This window comes from Homo sapiens, chromosome 7, assembly GCF_000001405.40.
Source record: "Homo sapiens chromosome 7, GRCh38.p14 Primary Assembly".
NCBI lineage: Eukaryota > Metazoa > Chordata > Mammalia > Primates > Hominidae > Homo > Homo sapiens.
In genome coordinates, this window is record NC_000007.14 from 47,501,476 (window position 1) to 47,521,975 (window position 20,500).

General features: G+C 49.2%; 1 protein-coding gene across 19 annotated transcripts in view, besides 7 other annotated features; it reads right to left on the reverse strand.

The window, feature by feature from the left end:
- The window catches only part of TNS3 (tensin 3), a 307,433-nt gene that overhangs the window by 226,322 nt on the left and 60,611 nt on the right, over window positions 1-20,500 (reverse strand). For 17 of the 19 annotated variants that reach the window (XM_047420733.1, XM_047420729.1, NM_001410878.1 and 14 more), the window contains one exon: window positions 5,432-5,469. Coding sequence is in view for 10 of the 19 variants with exons in the window: in XM_047420729.1 (XP_047276685.1) it covers window positions 5,432-5,469 (38 nt within the window). In the remaining 9 variants the exon portion in view is untranslated. Of the gene's footprint in view, window positions 1-5,431; window positions 5,470-12,289; window positions 12,553-20,500 lie in introns of those variants that run through there. The other 2 variants (XM_047420736.1, XM_024446876.2) reach the window with 1 other exon arrangement.
- Window positions 663-1,260: an enhancer, noted in NCBI's record as "H3K27ac-H3K4me1 hESC enhancer chr7:47541736-47542333 (GRCh37/hg19 assembly coordinates)". NCBI's record gives its function as "activates a minimal SCP1, AML or CMV promoter by ChIP-STARR-seq in primed H9 embryonic stem cells {active_cell/tissue: H9 hESC(primed)}" and the evidence as "EXISTENCE:reporter gene assay evidence [ECO:0000049][PMID:30033119]".
- Window positions 1,261-1,857: an enhancer, noted in NCBI's record as "H3K27ac-H3K4me1 hESC enhancer chr7:47542334-47542930 (GRCh37/hg19 assembly coordinates)". NCBI's record gives its function as "activates a minimal SCP1, AML or CMV promoter by ChIP-STARR-seq in primed H9 embryonic stem cells {active_cell/tissue: H9 hESC(primed)}" and the evidence as "EXISTENCE:reporter gene assay evidence [ECO:0000049][PMID:30033119]".
- Window positions 2,896-3,396: an enhancer, noted in NCBI's record as "H3K4me1 hESC enhancer chr7:47543969-47544469 (GRCh37/hg19 assembly coordinates)". NCBI's record gives its function as "activates a minimal SCP1, AML or CMV promoter by ChIP-STARR-seq in primed H9 embryonic stem cells {active_cell/tissue: H9 hESC(primed)}" and the evidence as "EXISTENCE:reporter gene assay evidence [ECO:0000049][PMID:30033119]".
- Window positions 17,676-18,387: an enhancer, noted in NCBI's record as "H3K4me1 hESC enhancer chr7:47558749-47559460 (GRCh37/hg19 assembly coordinates)". NCBI's record gives its function as "activates a minimal SCP1, AML or CMV promoter by ChIP-STARR-seq in primed H9 embryonic stem cells {active_cell/tissue: H9 hESC(primed)}" and the evidence as "EXISTENCE:reporter gene assay evidence [ECO:0000049][PMID:30033119]".
- Window positions 18,388-19,099: an enhancer, noted in NCBI's record as "H3K4me1 hESC enhancer chr7:47559461-47560172 (GRCh37/hg19 assembly coordinates)". NCBI's record gives its function as "activates a minimal SCP1, AML or CMV promoter by ChIP-STARR-seq in primed H9 embryonic stem cells {active_cell/tissue: H9 hESC(primed)}" and the evidence as "EXISTENCE:reporter gene assay evidence [ECO:0000049][PMID:30033119]".
- Window positions 19,370-19,876: an enhancer, noted in NCBI's record as "NANOG-H3K27ac-H3K4me1 hESC enhancer chr7:47560443-47560949 (GRCh37/hg19 assembly coordinates)". NCBI's record gives its function as "activates a minimal SCP1, AML or CMV promoter by ChIP-STARR-seq in naive and primed H9 embryonic stem cells {active_cell/tissue: H9 hESC(naive and primed)}" and the evidence as "EXISTENCE:reporter gene assay evidence [ECO:0000049][PMID:30033119]".
- Window positions 19,877-20,382: an enhancer, noted in NCBI's record as "H3K27ac-H3K4me1 hESC enhancer chr7:47560950-47561455 (GRCh37/hg19 assembly coordinates)". NCBI's record gives its function as "activates a minimal SCP1, AML or CMV promoter by ChIP-STARR-seq in primed H9 embryonic stem cells {active_cell/tissue: H9 hESC(primed)}" and the evidence as "EXISTENCE:reporter gene assay evidence [ECO:0000049][PMID:30033119]".

Genomic DNA, 20,500 nt, shown 5'->3' on the forward strand with positions numbered 1-20,500 from the left:
AGACAGGCCCCTGCCCTGAGCAGAGCGGAGCTGGCTGGTGGGATGCTGGAGAGTGGAGGCTCTGGGGCCCTAGACAGGGTAAGGTCTGGACATGGAAGATGAGACAGGCTCAAAGAATGCAGTAACCGAGAGCTCAGGGTCAGCAAAGCAGCAGCTCCCACAGCCTCCCTCCTTGTGCACGGGTGAGAAGGTCCAAAACAGAAACGCACAGCTGCGACAGCCGAGGCCCCTGCAGGGTTGCAAAGAGCTATGGGAATTGGGGAGAGATACTGCCCCTGCTCACTGTCTCGTGGGAGGACTGGGAGTCTCGGACAAGATGCCACGGATGTATGAGCAGAGCCTTCATGGGGAAGAAGAGGCCTGAGCCATGCGGGAGTCAGAGAATTCTCAGGCATCATTTCATGAGAGAGAAATAGAGATGCAGCCCAAGAGGAGTGAGCCCCAAGCCAAGCGGGAGAGACGCTCAACTCGTGTTTTAGAGAAGTTGGCCCTGGAGCTGGAGTTCACAAGAGGCATAGTAGGTTCTGTAGGCATACGAGCAAGGTGGGCTAAAGTCACCCACACAAACCTCAGCTCCATTTCTGATACATGAAGATGGCAAAGCACCAAAAAGAACACATGGAACAGCAAAAATCAGAACTTTGAAATGCAACGCCCATGAATTCTGGGCCCAGAAGCTAGGTGACAATAGGTAAGTTGTTTCACCTCCCTGGGGTCTCGAGGTTTTTCATCAGACAATGGGGAGAGGGGGCTGGAGAGGTCAATCCCTGGGACCCAGCAGGCCCGTATCCCACTGCACGGCAGCTGCGGCTCTTAGCATGCAGAGAAAAGGAGTGATCTGAAGATGAAAGTTAACTGCCAGACAGAAGTTAATGGTTGAAACTTATCAGTTAGGCCACTGAGCGTCTGTTGACGCCCAGGATGAATGTCTAGGGACAGTTTCTGAAGAAGCCATAAACTCTAGGTCCCGTGTTTTCCATGGCAGAGGACCAAGTCTTTGCCCTGGGCCTGTCTGGTGGAAGTGAAAAAGCTCCTGCATCAGCCGCAGCCAGGACATGGGGATCCCTGATGGGAGAGCCCAGCAAAGGCCCCCAGGGCAGCAGGCGATGAGGGCAGCAGGGGGTTCCGCTGACTTCCCCAGGACCTCCTGTAGTCTCAGCTTAAAAAGAGCAGCAAGCCTATCACAAAGTTCTCTCTCCCTCAAGCAGCCAGCTGGAGAGCGGGGAAAGGCTCCTGGCTTGGCAAGTGCCCAGACGTAGCACCGGGACAGTGGAAGAAGATGCTGAGGCCACCTGCAGGAGCCAAGAGGCTGGACAGAGCCTGGGACCTCTCTCCTCTTGCTGCACTCTCCTTCTACAGACTCAGCAAGGAGGCAACACCAGCACTCCTGTATTTTATATCCAAGAAGGGTGCAAACCGAGGCACATGCAGAGAGAGAAACAGCAAGCTGGACCTTCGCAGCCAGGCTGCAAAGGCTGAGGATGAGCCAGGGGGTCTGAGAGCATTGGAGCCCAGGTGGTAGGAGGTTCTGTGTTTTTCCTGGATTAAAGGGGGAGCTGCGCATCGGGACCCTGTGCAGGGCATCTCCCCAACATTACTCCTGCGCATGTTCCCCTCACTAACTCCTGCGTATGGTCCCTACGTGGGGTCTTAAGTTTACAAAAAAATTATCTGCAGGTCCATTTCACCTCTGATGATTCAAGATGATACTCAATACCCTACACAAAGTGCAACTCTAAGGAGCAAATGTGTCTGCAAGTGGGCAGAGGCGGAAGAGGCATCTCACCATGATGCCAGGCTGCAGGTTTCAAGGATAGGATTCCCATGCCTCCATCTGCTTGCCTAAGCTCCCCTTCATTTCCTTCAGGGGGGCACCACCTGCCACCCTTTCCTCCCCCTTCTCCCCTCCCCAACATCTGCTTTCCTACAACTGCTTCATTTCTCCTACTTCTTTTTTCACTCTTGCCAGTAAGTCAAGTGACAGCCAGGAAAAAAGCAAGTCATGATGCCCACACAGCTCATGTGGCTCACATGAATAAGCACTGCATTCCAGGAAGCAAAACAGTTGAAATCCCAAACTTTCAAGTGATTGTACATACATTATGTGACTTCCCTGAAACTTAAGTATTAACATAACCAACAGCTAAGAGAAAGTTATTTTTCTGTTTATTACAGAAACCTATTATTCACTTTTTTTATGCAGGAAGAAAGTGAGGCTCAGGGCCTATCTAAGTCCATGTGGGCTGCTATAACAAAATATTGGGAGGCTTATAAACAACAGAAATATACTTCCCAAGGTTCTAGGGTTGGGAAGTACAAGATCAAGGCACCAGCAGATTCAGTGTCTGGTGTGGGCCCTTTTCAGGGTTCATAGAGGGTGCCTTCTTGCCATGTATGCTCATGGCAGAAGAGGTAAGGGATCTCTCTGGGGTCCCTTTTATAAAGGCACTAATCTCATTTATAGACACTCCACCCTCGCGACCTAATCATCTCCCCAAAGGCCTCCATTTCCAGCTACCATCACCTTGGGGGTCAGGTTTCAACACAGGAATCTGGGGGAGACACAAACATCAAGACCATAGCAAGGGGGACTAGAAAGGCTTCAGGAGACAAAAAGCCCCACTGGGATCCAAGTCCAGGTCTCTGCCTCCATCCATCCACTGAGCTGCATGGCCTGGCCTGAGAGGACATACTGTCCAATGGCTCAAGAAGAGAGTGATAGCAGTCTTTTGGCGCTTCTCAAAATGTCCCAACGATGGCTCTGCCTCCCTGCCTGAGGCAGGTCCCCAGCTGCTGTCTCGGTCCCCATTTCTGCAGGATGGTTTCTCCACATTGTCAGTGCCACAGAAGGGGCTCTGAGGGCCTGGATGGGAGGAGCCTGTGACAATGTCACTGACAGCAGCAGATCAACAGCACCACCACACACCAGCCACATGCTCCAGGGCATGTGTGGAGCCTGTAGACACAGGCGCAAGTGCTCCCACACAGAGGGGAACACCATCGAGGGGGTTTAACACAGCACACGCTACCACCCAGTCTTGGGTCTGATGCCAGACCAAAGCCTATGAGCTGAACCAAGGCTTCATACTTGCCTGAGCAATCTGAGTGCAGCGTCTAAGGAGCCCACTGGGCAATATATGTAAACACAGTAATGAAGGACTCAAAAGCCGAGTGCAATAATGTGGGAGAAGCCACAGCCATATTCAGTTCCTGGAAGACCGAGCGGCTCCCTTAGCCACATACCCTGCAGGAGCAGCTGGGGAGTTATGGCCCTCATATCCCCAACAACGACGGCATTATATTTTTGGAATGAGAAGGTGCTTTGTTATTGCCAGGGGCTTTCTCCCCTGTGGTTCAAAGCTGTATTATAAAAAAAATGAACACGGATATATTTCCCCACACTGTGATCTGATAGGAATAAGAGCTTATCCATCCCTCAGCAAACTGCCAATTGCTGCCGTTAGAAATTCCATATTCAGTGATAGTTAAGGATTTTGGAATACACTTTGAACCAAAGAATTCAATCCCTTAAGCAGCCGGCGACAGGCTTCATTTAAGAAATGGAAGGAACAACAGCAGGCTCATCTCTGCGGCTGTGGCTCAGAGGTGGCTGGGCCCACAACAGAGTCAGGACAAGCAGCCCACCCCCTCCTCCTACTCCGCAGCCGACCCAAGGTGCAAGCAATGCGGACAAAGGCACCATACAACAGGGGTGAGGGACAACACATCCCAGTCCTCCTAGGGGAGGGGGAAGCTCTCCAAGTCTGAAATGCTCCCCCAAAGGTACAATCTTCCCACTCACCACTGCATTCAGAAGCACTGCTCCCACACCACTGAAGGTGCACAGCACCCCAGGAAAGGAGCCTATCTGTGGACAAAAAACCTCAAATAAACCACGGTCAGAAATCAGCTACGCCTAGGAGTGTGTGAACAAGAAATGCCCACTCCTCTGGAAAAGGGGAAGCCCTCTCCAGAGCAGGGTGGAAAGCAAGAGGAGAAGCGCTCCACACAGCCCCCAGGAGGCCCGAGAAGTGCACCCCACATGACATCTGAAGGAGGCAGCCAGCAAGGAGGTGTGGCCAGGTCACAGGGGCTGCTGGTCTGGGGTTCAGGAAGGGGGCAGCAAGGCCCTGTGCCATCCTCTCTGCTCCTGCACGTGCTCGGCATTCTCCATAATGAAGACTTTAAAAAGTCTCTTGGGAGAAAAGAAATAGAGCTATACTAGTCTAGTTCTTCCAACTTTGTGTGTGTGTGTGTGTGTGTGTATTTCTGTGCACACATATGCATGTATGCGTGTGAGCACAAATGTGTTTGTGTGCATGTGTATTTATGTGCATGCATGTGTATTTATGTGCATGCACATGTGTGTATTTACTCATGTGTGTGTTTGTGTATGCCTGAGATCGGGAGGGTCGGGGAAACCAGCCGCCCTAGTCCTCACATGGAAAACAGACCCACATGCAGTGAGTTCATGGTAACATGAAGTCAGCTTCCAGCATAGCCTTCCACTCGGAGCCGAAGGCAGGGCTGGAAATGATCAAAACAGCTGACCCATGAGGTCTGTAACAGTAGCAAAATCCCAAGACTCTAAAACTCCTCTTCCCTGGACCTACAGCCATGGGGACAACCTGTCAGGGCACCTACAGAGCCCCCATAGGCAGGGCCAAACAGTAGATGGGGCAAAACACTGCTGACACCCCGACTGCAGACCCAAATCATACTTGGGGATTCCGTAAGTACAGCCACCATCCCCAGGAGATCTGAAGGTGCGAGCACCAAGACAACGTAGAAAACCATGTGCTTCTTCCTTGGGGTGTCTGTCACTTCCCACACGGCACTTCCAGGCCACCTCACTTCCCCACTCACCAAAACCCTAAGCCCAACAGGACATAGCCAGGCCTCCTTTGGTCATAGAGGCCATCGGGCAATTGAACCTCTCTAGAGACTCACAAACCTCAGTGAACATCACTAAACCTTACTCCAGGGTTCCCAGGTTTCCGTGGCAGCTGAAAACCCCAATCCGTCTATGCACAACTATCTCCAAAATGAGGCAGAAAAGTCTCCAGGCCAGGGGAATGCCCTGGACCTCCCTGCTCCTGCCCTCTCTCCACCGAGAGGCAGTATGACAAGGCAGTGAGAAACCAGGGACCATGTGCCACTGAGAAGGAGCTGTTGATGTGGCCAGGGGACAACTATTGAATTCTTATCTGAAATCAAATTCTTAAGAATTATTTTCCATAATCAAAACCGTGGATTTCAAAGCTCTTTGGTTTATCCTTGAGATGAAAAGTATACACCGTACCCCAGCCCTGGCTTTCCTAAAGAGTTTTCTTTCCGTGGCTGCAGTCCAAAGAGGCCCCCCCACACATATCATTCAATGAAGGCCAAGTCAGCTATAAAAAGTCCCATGGGAAAGCAACGGAATGCTTACCTTGGCTTCACATTTCTTGTGGCAGGAATACTTGCAGGCTGGGAAAAAAAAAAAGAGAAAGAATGTGTGTCAAGCAGTCTCTCTAGCAAGAATTCTTACATCTTCAAACCCTCTCAATCCTTCAGAGTCTCTGGCTTGAAGATCCCATAGGTGGCCTCTCTCTGGCACGAGAGAGATTTTTACATATGACACACGGCAGTGTGGACAGAAGGCAGTGAGGACATGGTGTGCAAGAGCAGAGTTACAACTGTTGTCTGTTAGCAACAGCTCAGGTGGCTCAGGTAGGAATGTCTTGGGAGCACGGTCATGAGCAGATTGGTTTTTCAAGGGGTCATGAGCAGATTGGTTTTTCAAGGGGTATGTACGTCCAGCCGAACTGGATCCCTAAAGAAGAATAGTGAATTTCAGCAGCAGAATGCATTCGTGTGTGCCCAGAAATTATAGCTGATCCCTGAAAAAAGAAGAGAAACTGGAAGATGCCCCTTAAGAATCAGAATTTAAAGTGTCCATGAAAGACCGGATGGGAGCCTTTAAATTTGTGAGAAAGTCGTGCATCTGGATTTCGGAAGTGCTTCCACTTCCGGCCAACCTGAGAACTGACTGTCAGAATAAATTCATGTCTAAATTCCTATAGGAGAATCCTTCCAGAGGGGCCATTGTGTGAACGGAGCGAGTCCTGTGTCCCTTCGGAGGCCCTAACAATGCAATGCAGAGCTGGAACCAATGCGGATTTCACAGGCCCTTCTGCCCAGAGGCTGCAGCTGTGATCATGAGGCATAAACCTCCCCACGAGCACCACGGGCATGCTGCAGGCAGGCCTTGCAGGACAGGGAGAGAGAAATGAAGCAACAACACCTAATAATCCCAACACAGCCTCCTGTGCCAGCTCCAAGGGAACGTCGGGTACATGCCCTCCCTTCCCCCACGTTTGCCAGCCCACAGGGACAGCTGTGGGAGGAGGGAAAGAGACCTGGGTTGGGGAACAGTGACCAAAGCCTCCTATCCAGGCTCTGCCCCTCAAGCTGGGTCTCTGCTTCCTCCCACGGAGCTATCATGGGTCAAATGGAATCCTTCAAGGGACCCTGCTTTGAAACTAGAAAGCAATGTCCACATGCAGAAGTGTGTGGGACCTGAAGACCAAGGCCTCAGAAGTCAGGGAGAGGGGCCCCACATCCCAGCTCTGCGTGTCAACACCCCGTGAATTTAATCAATGTCTCACTCCCCCTCCTGCACTCTGTTTTCTATGATGTGTCAAAGTCAAAAAGGTTTGTGTAGGGTTGAATGAGGATGAAACAGATAAGGTCACTTGCCCACTGCCTGGCAATTATTAGAACTCCAGTAGTTACAGCTAGGTTGTTATCTTTGTATGATCTATATTTTTGAATTGCTGAATTGTCATTCTATACCTTGAGGTTTGTAAGATTATTCACAAAGACATGTATTTATCCTACACCTTCTGATGGGCAAAACACACAAAGGTGATCAGTGATTTTCAAATCAAGAGAGACTTGCCATTGGGAAACAAGGGGCTTCCACACAAGATTAAAAGTCCAGACAGAAACCATCCCCAGCAGAGGCCAGCACAAAGGACTGAGATAAGGAGAAGGGCGGTGGGCAGGCCTCTGGCCTCTGGCTGAGTGAGAGTCAGGCAAAGAATTCTGCCCACACACGTCTAGCAGCATGTCACAGGACCACGACATCATGCAGCGGTTAGCCTTCCAGATGGCCTGGGTGACCTCGTCTCTTGGCCCCCATGCTGGTGTATAGCCCCCTCCCACAGTGAATCAGCTGGGCTGTGTGACAGTGCAACCTGGCAGAGGAGATGGTGTGTGACTTTTGTGGCTAAAAGACATCGTGACTTCTGTCCTGGTCTCCAGGATCACTCATTCTGAGGACAGCCAGATGCCATGTTGTGAGGACACTCAAGCAGCCCTGTGGAGAGGCCCCCATGGAGAGGAACTGAGGCTTCCCACAAACAGCTGGCCCCAGCTTCCCAGCCACAGAAGTGTGCCACCTCGGAAGCTGGTCTCCAACCCCAACCAAGCCTTCAGATGGTGCAGCCTCTCCAGAGACCCTGAGCCAGAACTGCCCAGTCACCTGTGTCCCAAATTCCTGATCACTGACACAGTGGGAGATAACAGATGCTTACTGCTATGTTAAGGTACTAACTTTGGGGATCATTTGTCATGCAACACGCCAACTCAACACAAAAAAATGGCCCTGGTCAGTGCAAGGGTGGCAGTGGTATGATACATTCATGGTGGGTGGCCTACTCGGCCACCAGACAGCCATCGGCACTGTAGGGCAAAATCATTAAATTCAATTATCATAGTGAAATCATATAAACTGCCCATGAGCCAAGACTACAATCCTGAGAGGCAGGGCCATTGTTTCTGGTATGTAGACAAGTGACCCTCAAAGTTTTACAAATGTTTGGACTAGGACTTCACACTCGATTGTCAGCAGCATGGATAATCCTCAGAGTAGCAAGTCCACCGTCAATCTATCCGTGGCCCAGCTCTGGTCAGCACCGCACCAGGCAGTGTACAAGATACTTTCCCGTATGTTACTGCACTTGCTCCTCGTAAGCACCTCTCGGGGAGGAACTGTAAGGGTGACTCAGCCAAGGGGGCAGCCATGGTCCATGAAGGTGGGACTCCAGCCCGTCTGTGCATCAAATTCAGTGTTTGCATCCAGCCATACTCTCCCTGCCTTTCTGACATATTACAAAATATGAATCAAACAGTGCCCAGGCCCAGCTTCCTATCCTGCCGCCCACAGGAGACAGCCCCCTGCCTGCCCTACCCCTGCCTGCCCTAACCCTGCCCATACCAACCTCACCTCCTCATTCACGCCATCCTGCACCCACCTCCTGGGCCCGGCTCAGCTGCCTCCGTTCCTGAGTTGACACCCTTCTGTGCCACTGAACCATCATGGCAGGTCATCATGGCTTGTCATATCATGATGATCTCCCTGTGTCCATCTCTCCCGATGGGCTGCAAGCTCCTCAAGGGACAGCGTCTCTGTTGTGCATGACCAGGGTCTCACAATAGCAGCACTAACACGAGTAACAGGCAGCTAATACACTCAGCACCTAAAAGTTTGAACTGCATGCGTATTGCCAAATTTCCACCACACCCTGGAAAGAAGCTACCTATCTTCGCCTGTTTTACTAATGTGAGACTGGGGTTTGTGGATGAGACTGAGGATTCACGTGCTGGACAACTGTGTCCCAATCTTGACCTGTTCCAGGTCTGCTTTCAGAAGCCCATAGCCAGCAGGCCCACAAGCTATGGAGACCTCATTACCTGATCACCACTTAGGGATTCGGGGCTGTGAAGGTGCTGGCCAGAAGGGAGGCTGCAAAACAGAAGAAGAACTTCGCACCAAAATCCATCTCTGAAGCACACAGGCCCAGAAGACAAAACGTATGTGTTCACTTTGACCCTCAGCCAGGCAGACCCGCCTCCTTTTTGGAATAGCAGTTGTGTGAGCTGGCAGCTAAACTAGCCACCTTCTCAGGGGATGTCATTTTTATTTGAAAGAACTCCTAGCAGACAAAATGCAGTTATTCAGACTCGAGTGCTTGTCATTTTCTCAAAAATGAAGTGAGTCTGTCATCATAAACCAATGTCAAAATTTGAGATTTCAAGTGAAAATTAGAATTTTAAAAGACTAGTACCCAGGCCAGGTGCGGTGGCTCACGCCTGTAATCTCAACACTTTGGGAGGCTGAGGCGGGCAGATCACTTGAGGTCAGGAGTTTGAGACTAGCCTGGCCAACATAGTGAAACCCCATCTCTACTAAAAATACAAGAAATTAGCTGGGCATGATGATGCATGTCTGTAATCCCAGCTACTTGGGAGGCTGAGGCACAAGAATCTCCTGAACCCAGGAGGCAGAGGTTGCAGTGAGCCGAGATCGTGCCCTGGGTGACAGAGTAAGACTGTCTTTAAAAAAAAAAAAAAAAAAAAGACTTGTACCCATCACCAGGGCCTAACAACTCCTAGGACATTTCTGTTAAAATCAACAATATTATTAACAAATGTGGGGATTTTCCTGAGATTGTATAACAAATATGTCAACATTTAGAAGTTCTGCGAAATTGTCAGTGGACCAATAATTTCCAAATGTCCAGTGCGTGGTGTTCCACACCGGGTAAAAGATGCACTTGGTGTGCAAGACAGGCCAGTGGATTTTAATAAAACAGCGTAGGAAAAACTCTACTGACACAATTTCAGATTCCACAGTGAAACTGAACTTTAAGCAACTGTCACTTGAGTTCTGGTGTAGAATCAAAATGAAATAGCTACAATGGCCGGAAAAGCCTATTAAAATGCCTCCTTTTCCAAGTAGATATGTTTATGGGGCTAGATTGTCTTTGACGCTTCAAACCAAACATTGCAGAAGACTGCATGCAAGGGTAACCAGCCTCTTGATTAAGGCTGCATAACAGAATCACAAAAAAAAATGCACCTCCTCTCATTTTGTTGTTTTGAAACATAGTTATTTTTTATTAAGCTTATGTTCATTTTAACATGTAATTGGTTCATTACCATTGCTTTTAACTGACTTAAATATTTTAAATACTCATCAGTTTCCCATTTCTAATAGGGTAAATCGTGATGAATACAAACCACACTGACAAGAGCCCTTTAGGGTCTTCTAGGACCCTAGCAGTGGGTGCCCGAGACCCGCAGCGCGAGGGCAACCCCGTTCATTCTCCTTGCCTGAGGCTCTCAGAATGGGGTAAGGACCCAACTTTGACCAACAGAAAGGTAAGTGAATTCTCCCAGGGGCTTCTGGCGAAGGCCTTCCCACTCCTGTAAACGAAGCAAGGGAAAATGCCTCAGCTTCTGGAACCTCCCCCTCTGAGCACGGAGCTGGACCCACAAGAAGAACCTGGAGAACTTGGGTTGCAGAACCGGGGCCCAGGCACACTGCCCGGAGCCTGCCGGCCGCTGCACCTCCCCCTGCAGAAGACACATGCCCTGCTGGCTGGGAGAGGCTCCTTCCATGCAGCCCCGTTATTGGCTGCCACGGTGCCTTCCACGAAGCTCCATGTACTTTAGACGCCTTGTTCCACCTGTTCCCATGGGGACCAGGGAGAAAGTCACATTCTCACTCCGTTGCACGAACAGCAAACTGCAGCACAGAGCGGAAGCTGCCTGCCCTGGGCGACAGAGCAGGTTAAGCAGTGACACCAGCTGCCAGCCCAGCTCTAGATGGGCAGAGCCCACCTCCCAGAGCTGGACTGGAACACCCAGTGAGCTGGTGTGCAAAGGCTCTTCTGTGCCTGGTGCAAGAACTGGGGCTCCACATGCATGAGCCCACTAAAGCAAACATCTACCATGAGCTACACACCAGGACCAGGAGCAGGTGTCCAGGGACCTCAGGAGTCTGAACTCACATGCTCACTCCAGCCCCTCTCCAAGGATCCGTGCCAGTCATGTCCCCTCTGGCACACATTTCCCCTTCTGTAATTAGGAGTAGAACAGGGTGATAGCCAAGATTCCTCTCTGCCATGAAAAGAATAGTTTACCTAAGCAATAAAAAGATAAAATTACATATATATACAAACAAAATATTAGGTAGCTATTGAAAAATTATGATCTCAAACTATTTCACATGTGAGAGTTCTTACAAAAGGCAAGGCTAACAGATATACAGCACTCTGTGTTGTATGAAATAAACTTTGTGACCGACAGACATGCGCGGTGGCCTCATCTATAGGAGAGAAAATGACACTGGAGAGAGACCTCACAACTCAGACAGAAAGGAGGAGCCAGACAACAAAACTGGGAAAACTGGTTACTCCATGAAAAACATCATCATAATAATAACAGAAATACCATGAATTTCAGATGCATCAATCATAGAACTGATTCGGAATTGGAAAAGCTGAAATGAATTATTAGAATAAAATATCAGAGAACATCTTTGTGACTTTGGAAAAGGGCAGACATTCTACAACAAGGAACAAGAGTATGAACTAAATGAAAAGATGAGTAGATCTGAACAAACCAAACATTACAACTTTTGCGTGACAAACAGGCCACAAACAAACTTAGACAAGCAACTGACTGGAATGTTTGCAATGTACAAAGTGGAAAGATAAGAAACTGACCTTTTCTGAGGACAAATGTCATTAGAAATTGGCAAAAGTTCTGCCTAATATCACAGATAAGATTTAGTATTCATAATATAGTGAAGTCTCAGAAATTTAAAAAAATGATTTTTAAATTTATTAATTTTCAAAATGTTATTTATTTTTTTCTTTTTAGAGATGAGGTCTCACTGTCACCCAGGCTGGAGTGCAGTGGCATGATCATAGCTCACTGCAGCCTCAAATTTACAGGCTGAAGCAATCCTCCTGCCTCAGCCTCTAGGGTAGCTGGGACCATTGGCGCGTGCCACTGTGCAGGCCAATTTTTAAATTTTTTGTAGAAATGGGGTCTTGTTTTGTTGCCCAGGCTGGTCTTGAACTCCCGGTTTCGATCGATTCTCCCGCCTCGGCGTCCCAAAATGCTGGGATTACAAGCATAAGCCACCTCACCACGCCCTAAAATAATCTAATTTTTAAATAAGCAATGAACAAAGGATTTGAAAGGCTACTTTGCTAAGTAAACAGAAATGCTGCAGGCAGCTTTTTTGTATCTTTTTAGATGTTCAACCTCATGTAATCACCAGATGAATGAAAAACATAATAAAAAGGAGACATCACTTTTCATCCATCAACTTGCAAAAACTGAAAAGCTGAAAAATCTCAAGTGAGAGGGTCAGTGACATTCCATGCAAGTAGGCTCCACCAAAAGCGTTTTCCTGTGAGGAGCCTGAACCTTCTCCAGCCCAGCTTACCCTCCGGCGTCTGAGCTGGTGTGTGGCAGGCCCCTTCTCGTGGCTTTGCCTGAACACTCGGCTCCACAGCTGACAGTCTGCAAACCACACATCAGTTCCCTTGTCAGACGAGGTTTCCAGACTCATGTTTAAGAATCCTGGCTCCCGCTGCAGCAGTTACAGCCCAGAGCTGTCTGGCTTGCAAACGCCCAACATTTTTATATGTTGTCTTGGAACTGCTATTCTTCACAACGTCTCCACGAGCCTTGGGAATCCAGGCCACTGTCTTACAGGGTTGTCAGAATCTTTTATACAACACTCGAAACATATTGACCAAGTTATAAACAAGCCTGTGAGTCACCCTCTGCTTCTCCTAGCATCAACTGTCAAGTTTGCCAGCCTCTCTGTGTCCCAGTAACAGGCTCCACAAGGCAGGAGGGGACTGATTAACCCACAGCGGGGGACCGCCAGACAAGGCCTGCCCAATGCCCACATTCACTGCTCAACCCCATGACCCCATTGTTGCCTTGTTAGTTTTAAATAACTACCATGTTCTCCTGAAGTCCTAATACTGCACCTGGCCCAAAGCAAAAAACACACACCTACCGACCTGCCCGTCTATCTCCAAACCTTTATCTGTAATCACTTAGTGTATTGCTGACTCCGATGGACTCAAAGACAGGACACAAAACTCTCATCTTTCTCTCCTAGCAGGTGCTTAATAATGTTGGGTTAACTGCGTGGAACAACCCATTACCAAATCTTTCTTACAAAACTCCCTTCATCCCACTTTCCCTCTGGTCTCCTTTCTCAGCTTTCTCCTTGCTTCTTTTCTCCTTTCTCCTTGCTTCCTTTCTCAACTCTCATCTCCTTTAGGCCTTCCCTACAGCTGTCTCTCTTGTTGCAGCACTTCTTTATTCTGTGCCATCCTGTCTCATTCCATGATAGTCTCGCTGATTCCACTATTAGATCCCAGAAAACCATCTCTCAAATGGGGAGCATTTATGCGTGGTCTGACCCTGGATCCTCCCTGGATCTACCTTCTTCCAGGGACCAAGTCCCACAAAACTTGTAACTTTTGGGGCCGAATCTACTCAATTCCAGAATGCCGAGACTCACCCATAACAGCACCTTCCTCTGTCCTCTGTGAAATACAACCATTTTGGGATATCAATGGCAACTGGACCATGTTAGGCCACCCAAGGGAACTCAGTGACATGTAGTGAGAACGGGTTGCCTCAGAGTCCTAACTGATGGTATGAGCACACCAGCAAGGTTTTGAGGAGTGTAAGAAAAACCACAACTGGACACTTAACCCCATTGCTCAATGTCATTTCTATCTTTTCTTTCCCTTACTTAAAGTTCCAAGAGTAGAGATAACAGGGCCCTTACATGTTAACATAACAGTTTTTAAAAGATGAAATGTTTTCTTTCTACTTAACCACATATGAAATTTGCATTTAACTAGGAGGTTAAAATGTGAAAGTCAGGGACCTGAAAGTCCAAGAATGAGCCAGAAAAGGAACGGTAGAAATACTGGCCTGCATCACAGAATATGCCCCTAACCCTTCTCCATCTATCATCACCATCAGTATCATCACGATCAGCATCATCATCACAATCGTTACCATTGCCATTGTTACTATCACCATCAACTACACTATCACTATCACCATCACCAGTCACAGCACTATCATTGCTGTCATCAACATCATCATCACCATCATTGTCACCATTCATCAACATCGTCACCATCACCATCATCATGTCAACATAATCACCAGTGCCATGGTCACCATCAACCACACCATCACCATCATCATCTCCATCAATTACACCATCACCACTCACCATCACCATCATGATCATCTTGACCATCACCATCTTCACCAACATCATACCATCATCATCACCATCCCCATCAACACCATCATCACTAATATACCATCATCATCAATCACGCCACCACCCACCATCACCATCATCGTTACCATCATCACCATCAATTACAACATCATTATCGGCATACCATTGCCACCCTCATCACCATCACTAACAATATCATTATCACCATCGTCATTACTGACACCATTGAACACTTTCTGGAGCTCCTCAGTGTTCTTTGTGTTTCATGTGTATTTACCCTGCTATTCCTCACAATGACTCTAAGCAGAAAGAGGCAGAGCAGGAATGCTGGCAGGCTGTCTCCACCATCCACCTCACCTCCACCACGCTCTGCTGCTTCCCCAGAAATAAGCCAAAGAAAGAACACCTCTACCAAAACGTCACATCACTGTGATGCATGATGACTTACATAATCTATGTAAAGGGAATACCTTGTTGTTTCCAGGTAGCATGTACACAAAGGGATCAAAATGCAAATGTATATGACATATGTGAATTATTAGTAGAGAACACTATGAAATTGTCTATTTGGGGAGTGGTCTCTATATAGTCTATTGAGAAAGAGAAAATCCTAGAGATTAACTACTCTAATGTACAAATTGTAAAGATCACGGCACTGAGGAACAGAAATAGGGTGCAACTGTCCAGGGCCACAGCTTCCTGTGGAGCAGCCCATCCCTGACTCTGCCAGGCTCCCATCTACACTTGCAGTGACTGCCAGGACCCCATCTCAACTCAGTGAGCAGAGTCCTCACATCCTGCCTCTGTCCCATCTAAACTTGCAGTGACTGCCAGGACCCCATCTCAACTCAGTGAGCAGCATCCTCCCATCCTGCCTCTGCCTTGTCTACACCTGCAGTGACTATCAGGACCCCATCTCAACTCAATGAGCTGCAGCATCCCCACATCCTGCCTCTACCCCGTTCTACACCCACAGTGACTGTGCCCGGCTCCCAGCTCCAACTCAGTAAGCAGCACCCCCTACCCTGCTAATGCCCCATCTACACATGCGGCAGCACGTAAGGAGATGGGCCAGGTCCGTCCTCCTCCTACTACGCTGACAAGAGCAATGGCTAAAATGATTTCCTGTGAAGATACACAAACACACACAAATAAAAATCTAGCTCTTGTGGGTCAGGAGCAGTGGCTCACGGCTATAATCCCAGCACTTTGGGAGGCCGAGGTGGGTGGATCATCTGAGGTCAGGAGTTCGAGACCAGCCTGGCCAACATGGTGAAACCCCAACTCTACTAAAACTACAAAAATTAGCCAGGCGTGGTGGTGGGCGCCTGTAATCCCAGCTACTCGGGAAGCTGAGGCAGGAGAATCACTTGAACCCAGGAGGCGGAGGTTGCAGTGAGCCAAGACCACAGCACTGCACTCCAGCCTGGGCAACAAGAGCAAAACTCCGTCTCAAAAACAAACAAACAAAAATCTAGCTCATGTGTTGTATCCCAATTCAGCCTGGTGTACTTACACAGGCTCTTTTTCCTTCACAGTGTCATGGGGTGTGCCAATTCTATGGTCCTACTGGAGGCTGGCCAATGTTGACTGAAGACAAGAACGCCCAACCTTGCAATAGAAACCCTGCTGTGCTGTTTTCCTGGATGGTCTCCACAAGCCCCGCTTCAAATCACACTCATCTTACCAGGGCTACCAGCCACAGCGTCCTGCAGCCCCACGCTTGACAAAAGAAACCTAGAGGAAAGGTGTCATTACCAATCTTTACCCCCGAAAGCCACCCACAGGGCAAGCCTCAGATAAGTCTCGTCGGGAAAGGGAAGGGGAAGAGCTCACCCGCAGGGACCTTCACCACCTCCAACAAACCAGATGTTTGTAAAGATACAAAGCTAACCACAAGTTAATACTCACCAAACTAAATACTTCTACCTTTTATTCCCTCCTTAATTCCACCAGTATTCATTAATACCCACAGCTGAAACATTTTGTAAGCCTATAAATATGTCCTGGACACCTACAACAGGGCAGAAACTGATCTGGACCTGGATACTATTGGGAACACAAAAAACATTCATGAATGTACACTGCAGTGCAAGAGGAAAGGAAAATCAACAGGAACCGTGGATTCAATCAGGATGACCTGAGGTACAGGAAAGTAACTCCAGGAAGGTGCAGCGGGAGCCTAAAGGCGGAGGGAGGGTTCCACAGTCATTTCTGTATCGGGGGTCAAGAAAAGTCTGAAGAGACAAGAAGAAAAATAGCAGCAAATGGGTGAGAAGGTGACAGGGAGCTGGGTCACACAGCCTGAGGGAGGCCACCACCCAAAAGGCACTATAAAATTAATTGTTGAGGGCATCAACCAATCAATAATCAATCAATCAAGAATCAGTCAACAATAATCAATCAATCAAGAATCAGTCAACCAAGATAGTCACTCTCACAAACTCCAGTATTTGCACAGGCCTTTGTGGCAGGTTGACTGGGGTTGCAGAGAGCCCAAGGCTCTTGGCTGCACCCAGCCTGCCTCCCACAGCACCATTTCCTCAGCCAGGTGCCTCCCAAAAGGGAAGTTAAACCCTCCAGACCACCCTCTGTTGAACACAAACTCAGGAATGGGGATAAGGCTCAAGATGCTCCCATTCGAGACAGAGCAGCCCTCTCTGTGCGCCCGTGTGGCACAGGTAGGATTGGATGTCGCCGCAAGGTCCCTCCGCCGATGTCATAGGGCGGCCATCTCCATGCTCTTATCTATTTGCTGTTCTCACTCTCCTCACAGATCCTCACCTCCCCACGCCAGATCTGCCCAAGAACACTGCAACACACTTCAAGACAACAGCCCCTAAAACTCTTGAAGTTTTCATCCCCAGATATTCAGTTTTACTCTTTCTCTCTTTCTTTCCACGTAATGATTTTCTTTTCTCGAAAAATAATCACTGGGGCCAGGCACAGAGGCCGACGCCTGAATTCCCAGCACTTTGGGAGGCAAAGTTGGCAGGCTTATTTGAGGTTATGAGTTGGAAAACAGCCTGGGCAACAGTAAGACCCCCATCTCTACAAGAAAGAATATAAATAAATAAGTAAATAAATAAATAAATCATTATCCCCCTCAAGGGATTCTTATCGTATGGGCATGGTTCACGTGCTCAGACATGAATCTGATCCTCACACAACCCCTTGATGAGTATCAGTTATTGTCCTCATGTGGCAGACCGGGAAACTGAAGCACAGAGAGGCAGTGGAGCTAAGGTCTGAACTCACATCAGCCTGGCTCTGGAGATCACAGGTTTAACCTTTGAGCCTCTCAGAAATCAATCGAGGTGGACTTAATCTTCACAAATAGGACACTGAATCAGCTGCGGCACTGACTAATGTTGATGAAGCACTCAAGAGCTGACAGAGTCCTTTTACGTCCCTTGACTCACATGTTCCTCCAAACAGCCTGTGAGTAGGGCCAGCCAGGCCTCACTGCCCACTTCACAGTCCAGAGAATCAAGCCCAGAGTCAGTGAGACCCACTGAGGCCCCGCCTGCTGCTTCGTCTCAGGGCGCCAGCTCCCATCCCTAACATTACTTACATAATCTATGTATAGGACGAACCTTGTTGTCTCTTTACCTTGTTGTTAACCTGCCCCCCATTTAAGATATCCCCCCCCAACACAAGGCACGGGTGCAAAGGAGAATGTCTCTGCATCTCCATCAGATATTCAAAGGGATCATATTATACAATATTGCAGAATGAAAGGAAAGAAAGAAGATGGTACCAATCCCTCAAAAACATCTTAAGTCTAACTCAGGAAACCCTCTTAGTAATTGTCTCCTTCAAATACACATTTGGAAGGAAACAAGTCCCCCACCTCACTCAGTGTGTGAGCAGACCCCAGCGGTGGGGCCACTCATCACCATGTAAACCAGGAGCACCCTCCCAAGAACCCCAGTCCCCCACACACATGGGTGTGACTGTCCAGGACTTCTTTGTCCCTCACTAGCCCAGCAGCCCGGTGGCAGATGTCCACCTGTGTGTGGGTGGCCAGCACCTAACACAGTAGGCACCTCCTAGACCCATGCTAGCCACAGTGAGCTGGCTGGAGGGGCGAGGGTGATAGGGGATCCTGCCTGTCCATGCTCACCCTAGGTTAGGGGCCGTCTGGCTGAGTCATGCAGAGGCCAGGCTTCGACTCCATCCTCTGGAACAGAGCTCCTCACATTTCTTTTTTTTTTTTTTTTTTTTTTTTTGAGACGGAGTCTCGCTCTGTTGCCCAGGCTGGAGTGCAGTGGCACAATCTCGGCTCACTGCAAGCTCCGCCTCCCGGGTTCATGTCATTCTCCTGCCTCAGTCTCCCGAGTAGCTGGGACTACAGGCGCCCGCCACCACACCTGCTAATTTTTTGTGTTTTTTTTAGTAGAGACGGGGTTTCACCATGTTATCCAGGATGGTCTCGATCTCCTGACCTCGTGATCCGCCTGCCTCAGCCTCCCAAAGTGCTGGGATTACAGGCTTCAGCCACCATGCCCGGCCGCTCCTCACATTTCTTAACACTTCAGGCCTGCCAGTGTCCCAGGGTTGCTGATACCCACGTGGGCTCCGTGAAGCACAGCACTGCCTCTTCCCTGGCTTCGAGGATGTGGAATCAGAAGTTGCCACTTGGCCTTGCCCCCCTGCCACACCTAGGCAGACCTTGAACACCCAGAGAGTAGCATTACATCCATCTGAATAAACCAACAGAAAACAACCCCACAACTTAACATAAAATTCCAGATCACAGTTACTGCAAAACAAATACTTGGATTTATGAGCTTGGCTACACTACTCAGTGAGTTTTAAAAATCAAAATCCACCAGCACAATCAACTAACACAACCCAGACGTCCCTGGCATGCAGAAACCTCAAATCCTGACAACCCAGACCGTTGAGAAACATCTGGGAGGGGTCCAGGCCTTCTTCCCAGCCACAGAGTTAGAAAACAGGAAGGATTTCAGACAAAATCCACGAGTAAAGTCCGTGTGGAGGCGGCTGAGAAAGGCTTTGTATTGCAACAGAGGAGCAGAATTTAGAGGCAGGGAAGTGCTGCTTCCCATCGGATAACCACCACCGACCAGAAATTATTCAGATGAAATTTGGCCTGGGTGCCTCCTTCCCCTTTGGGAGCTTCTGGGAGATTCTGTCGTGTTGCCACCTCTCTGGATGGGGCAAGTCTGATGGGAGGGCTGAGCTCAGTTCCCCGGTAGAAGTCAACCCCAGGGTGGGGCTGGGCTTGCCCTCAGGGTTGGGGGACTCACCACCTCCAATTGTTCTGGAAAGAACTTTGGAAATAACATCTGGAGCCATTTCACATGGATTTGCCAGAGAAGAGCGGATCAATGAGCCAGGTGTTTATCTGCACAAATTCATCTGGATTGTCATGCAACTTACATTCCCTGTGCACCTACTGGGCTCTAGGCCCTTTGCTGAGACTCAGGATACCCAAGAAACAGCAGTGCATCGCATCATAGTAGGGGCAGTCGGCCCAGGGGAGCAGATAGATTCATAAACAAATGATCAGAACACAGCAGTTCCTCCATCGTCCTGACAATGCCCACACTCCCTGCCCCACCCACCTCCCAGAATTGCCTGTCCCTCCTCTGTGCTCCCAAGGAGGCTGCAAATACCTCTGATAAAGCACTCCTCACACGGGATCCTGTTCCTGCTCACTACTCCAGCCCACTAGACTCCGAGCCCTTCGAAGCCTTGGTCACCGTGGGCATCGCAATGCACCAGCTGCCGCACCTGCTCAGTAAAAGTGTGCTGGTGAGGGTTCACCCTGCAAGACAAGACAGCACTCCACTTTGGGACGGAGGTGTCTGCCCTGTGCACAGGCATCTGGTGAACAACACAGAGCCAGCCCCTCATGCCTCCTGGGCTCCAGCTGAGGGCAGAGAATCACTGCCCCAGTGAACATCCGGATGGCTGGCTAGTCACTGGCCATGGATAGTTCTGGAGGGAAAAGGGCAGATGCTAGGGGACACAGCGGCAGGGCAGGGAGGCACCTTCCTGAGGACCTGGTGCTTGAGCTGAAACCTAAAGGATGAGGGTCAGCAGGCAGAGCAGCACAGTCCAGCAAGAGGTCAAAAATGAGCCCTGTGCAGCCGGCCTCTCAAAGCACCTGGGGGAGTCAGGAGAGACCAAATAAGGCAGGCACAGCCTCAAAGGGCCACCATGAGGATGCAGGCACAGGTTCTTCCCGCTGGATGGTTTACAGTTTCCCAGAGCCGTTCTCTGAGTACAAACAGGAGAGGAGCGGAGAGGCAAACAGGAGACTGGATCTCAAGGGCATCCCAGCCTGGGCAGACAAAGGGCCAGACCCAGGGAAGCTGGGTTAGGAAGGAGGAA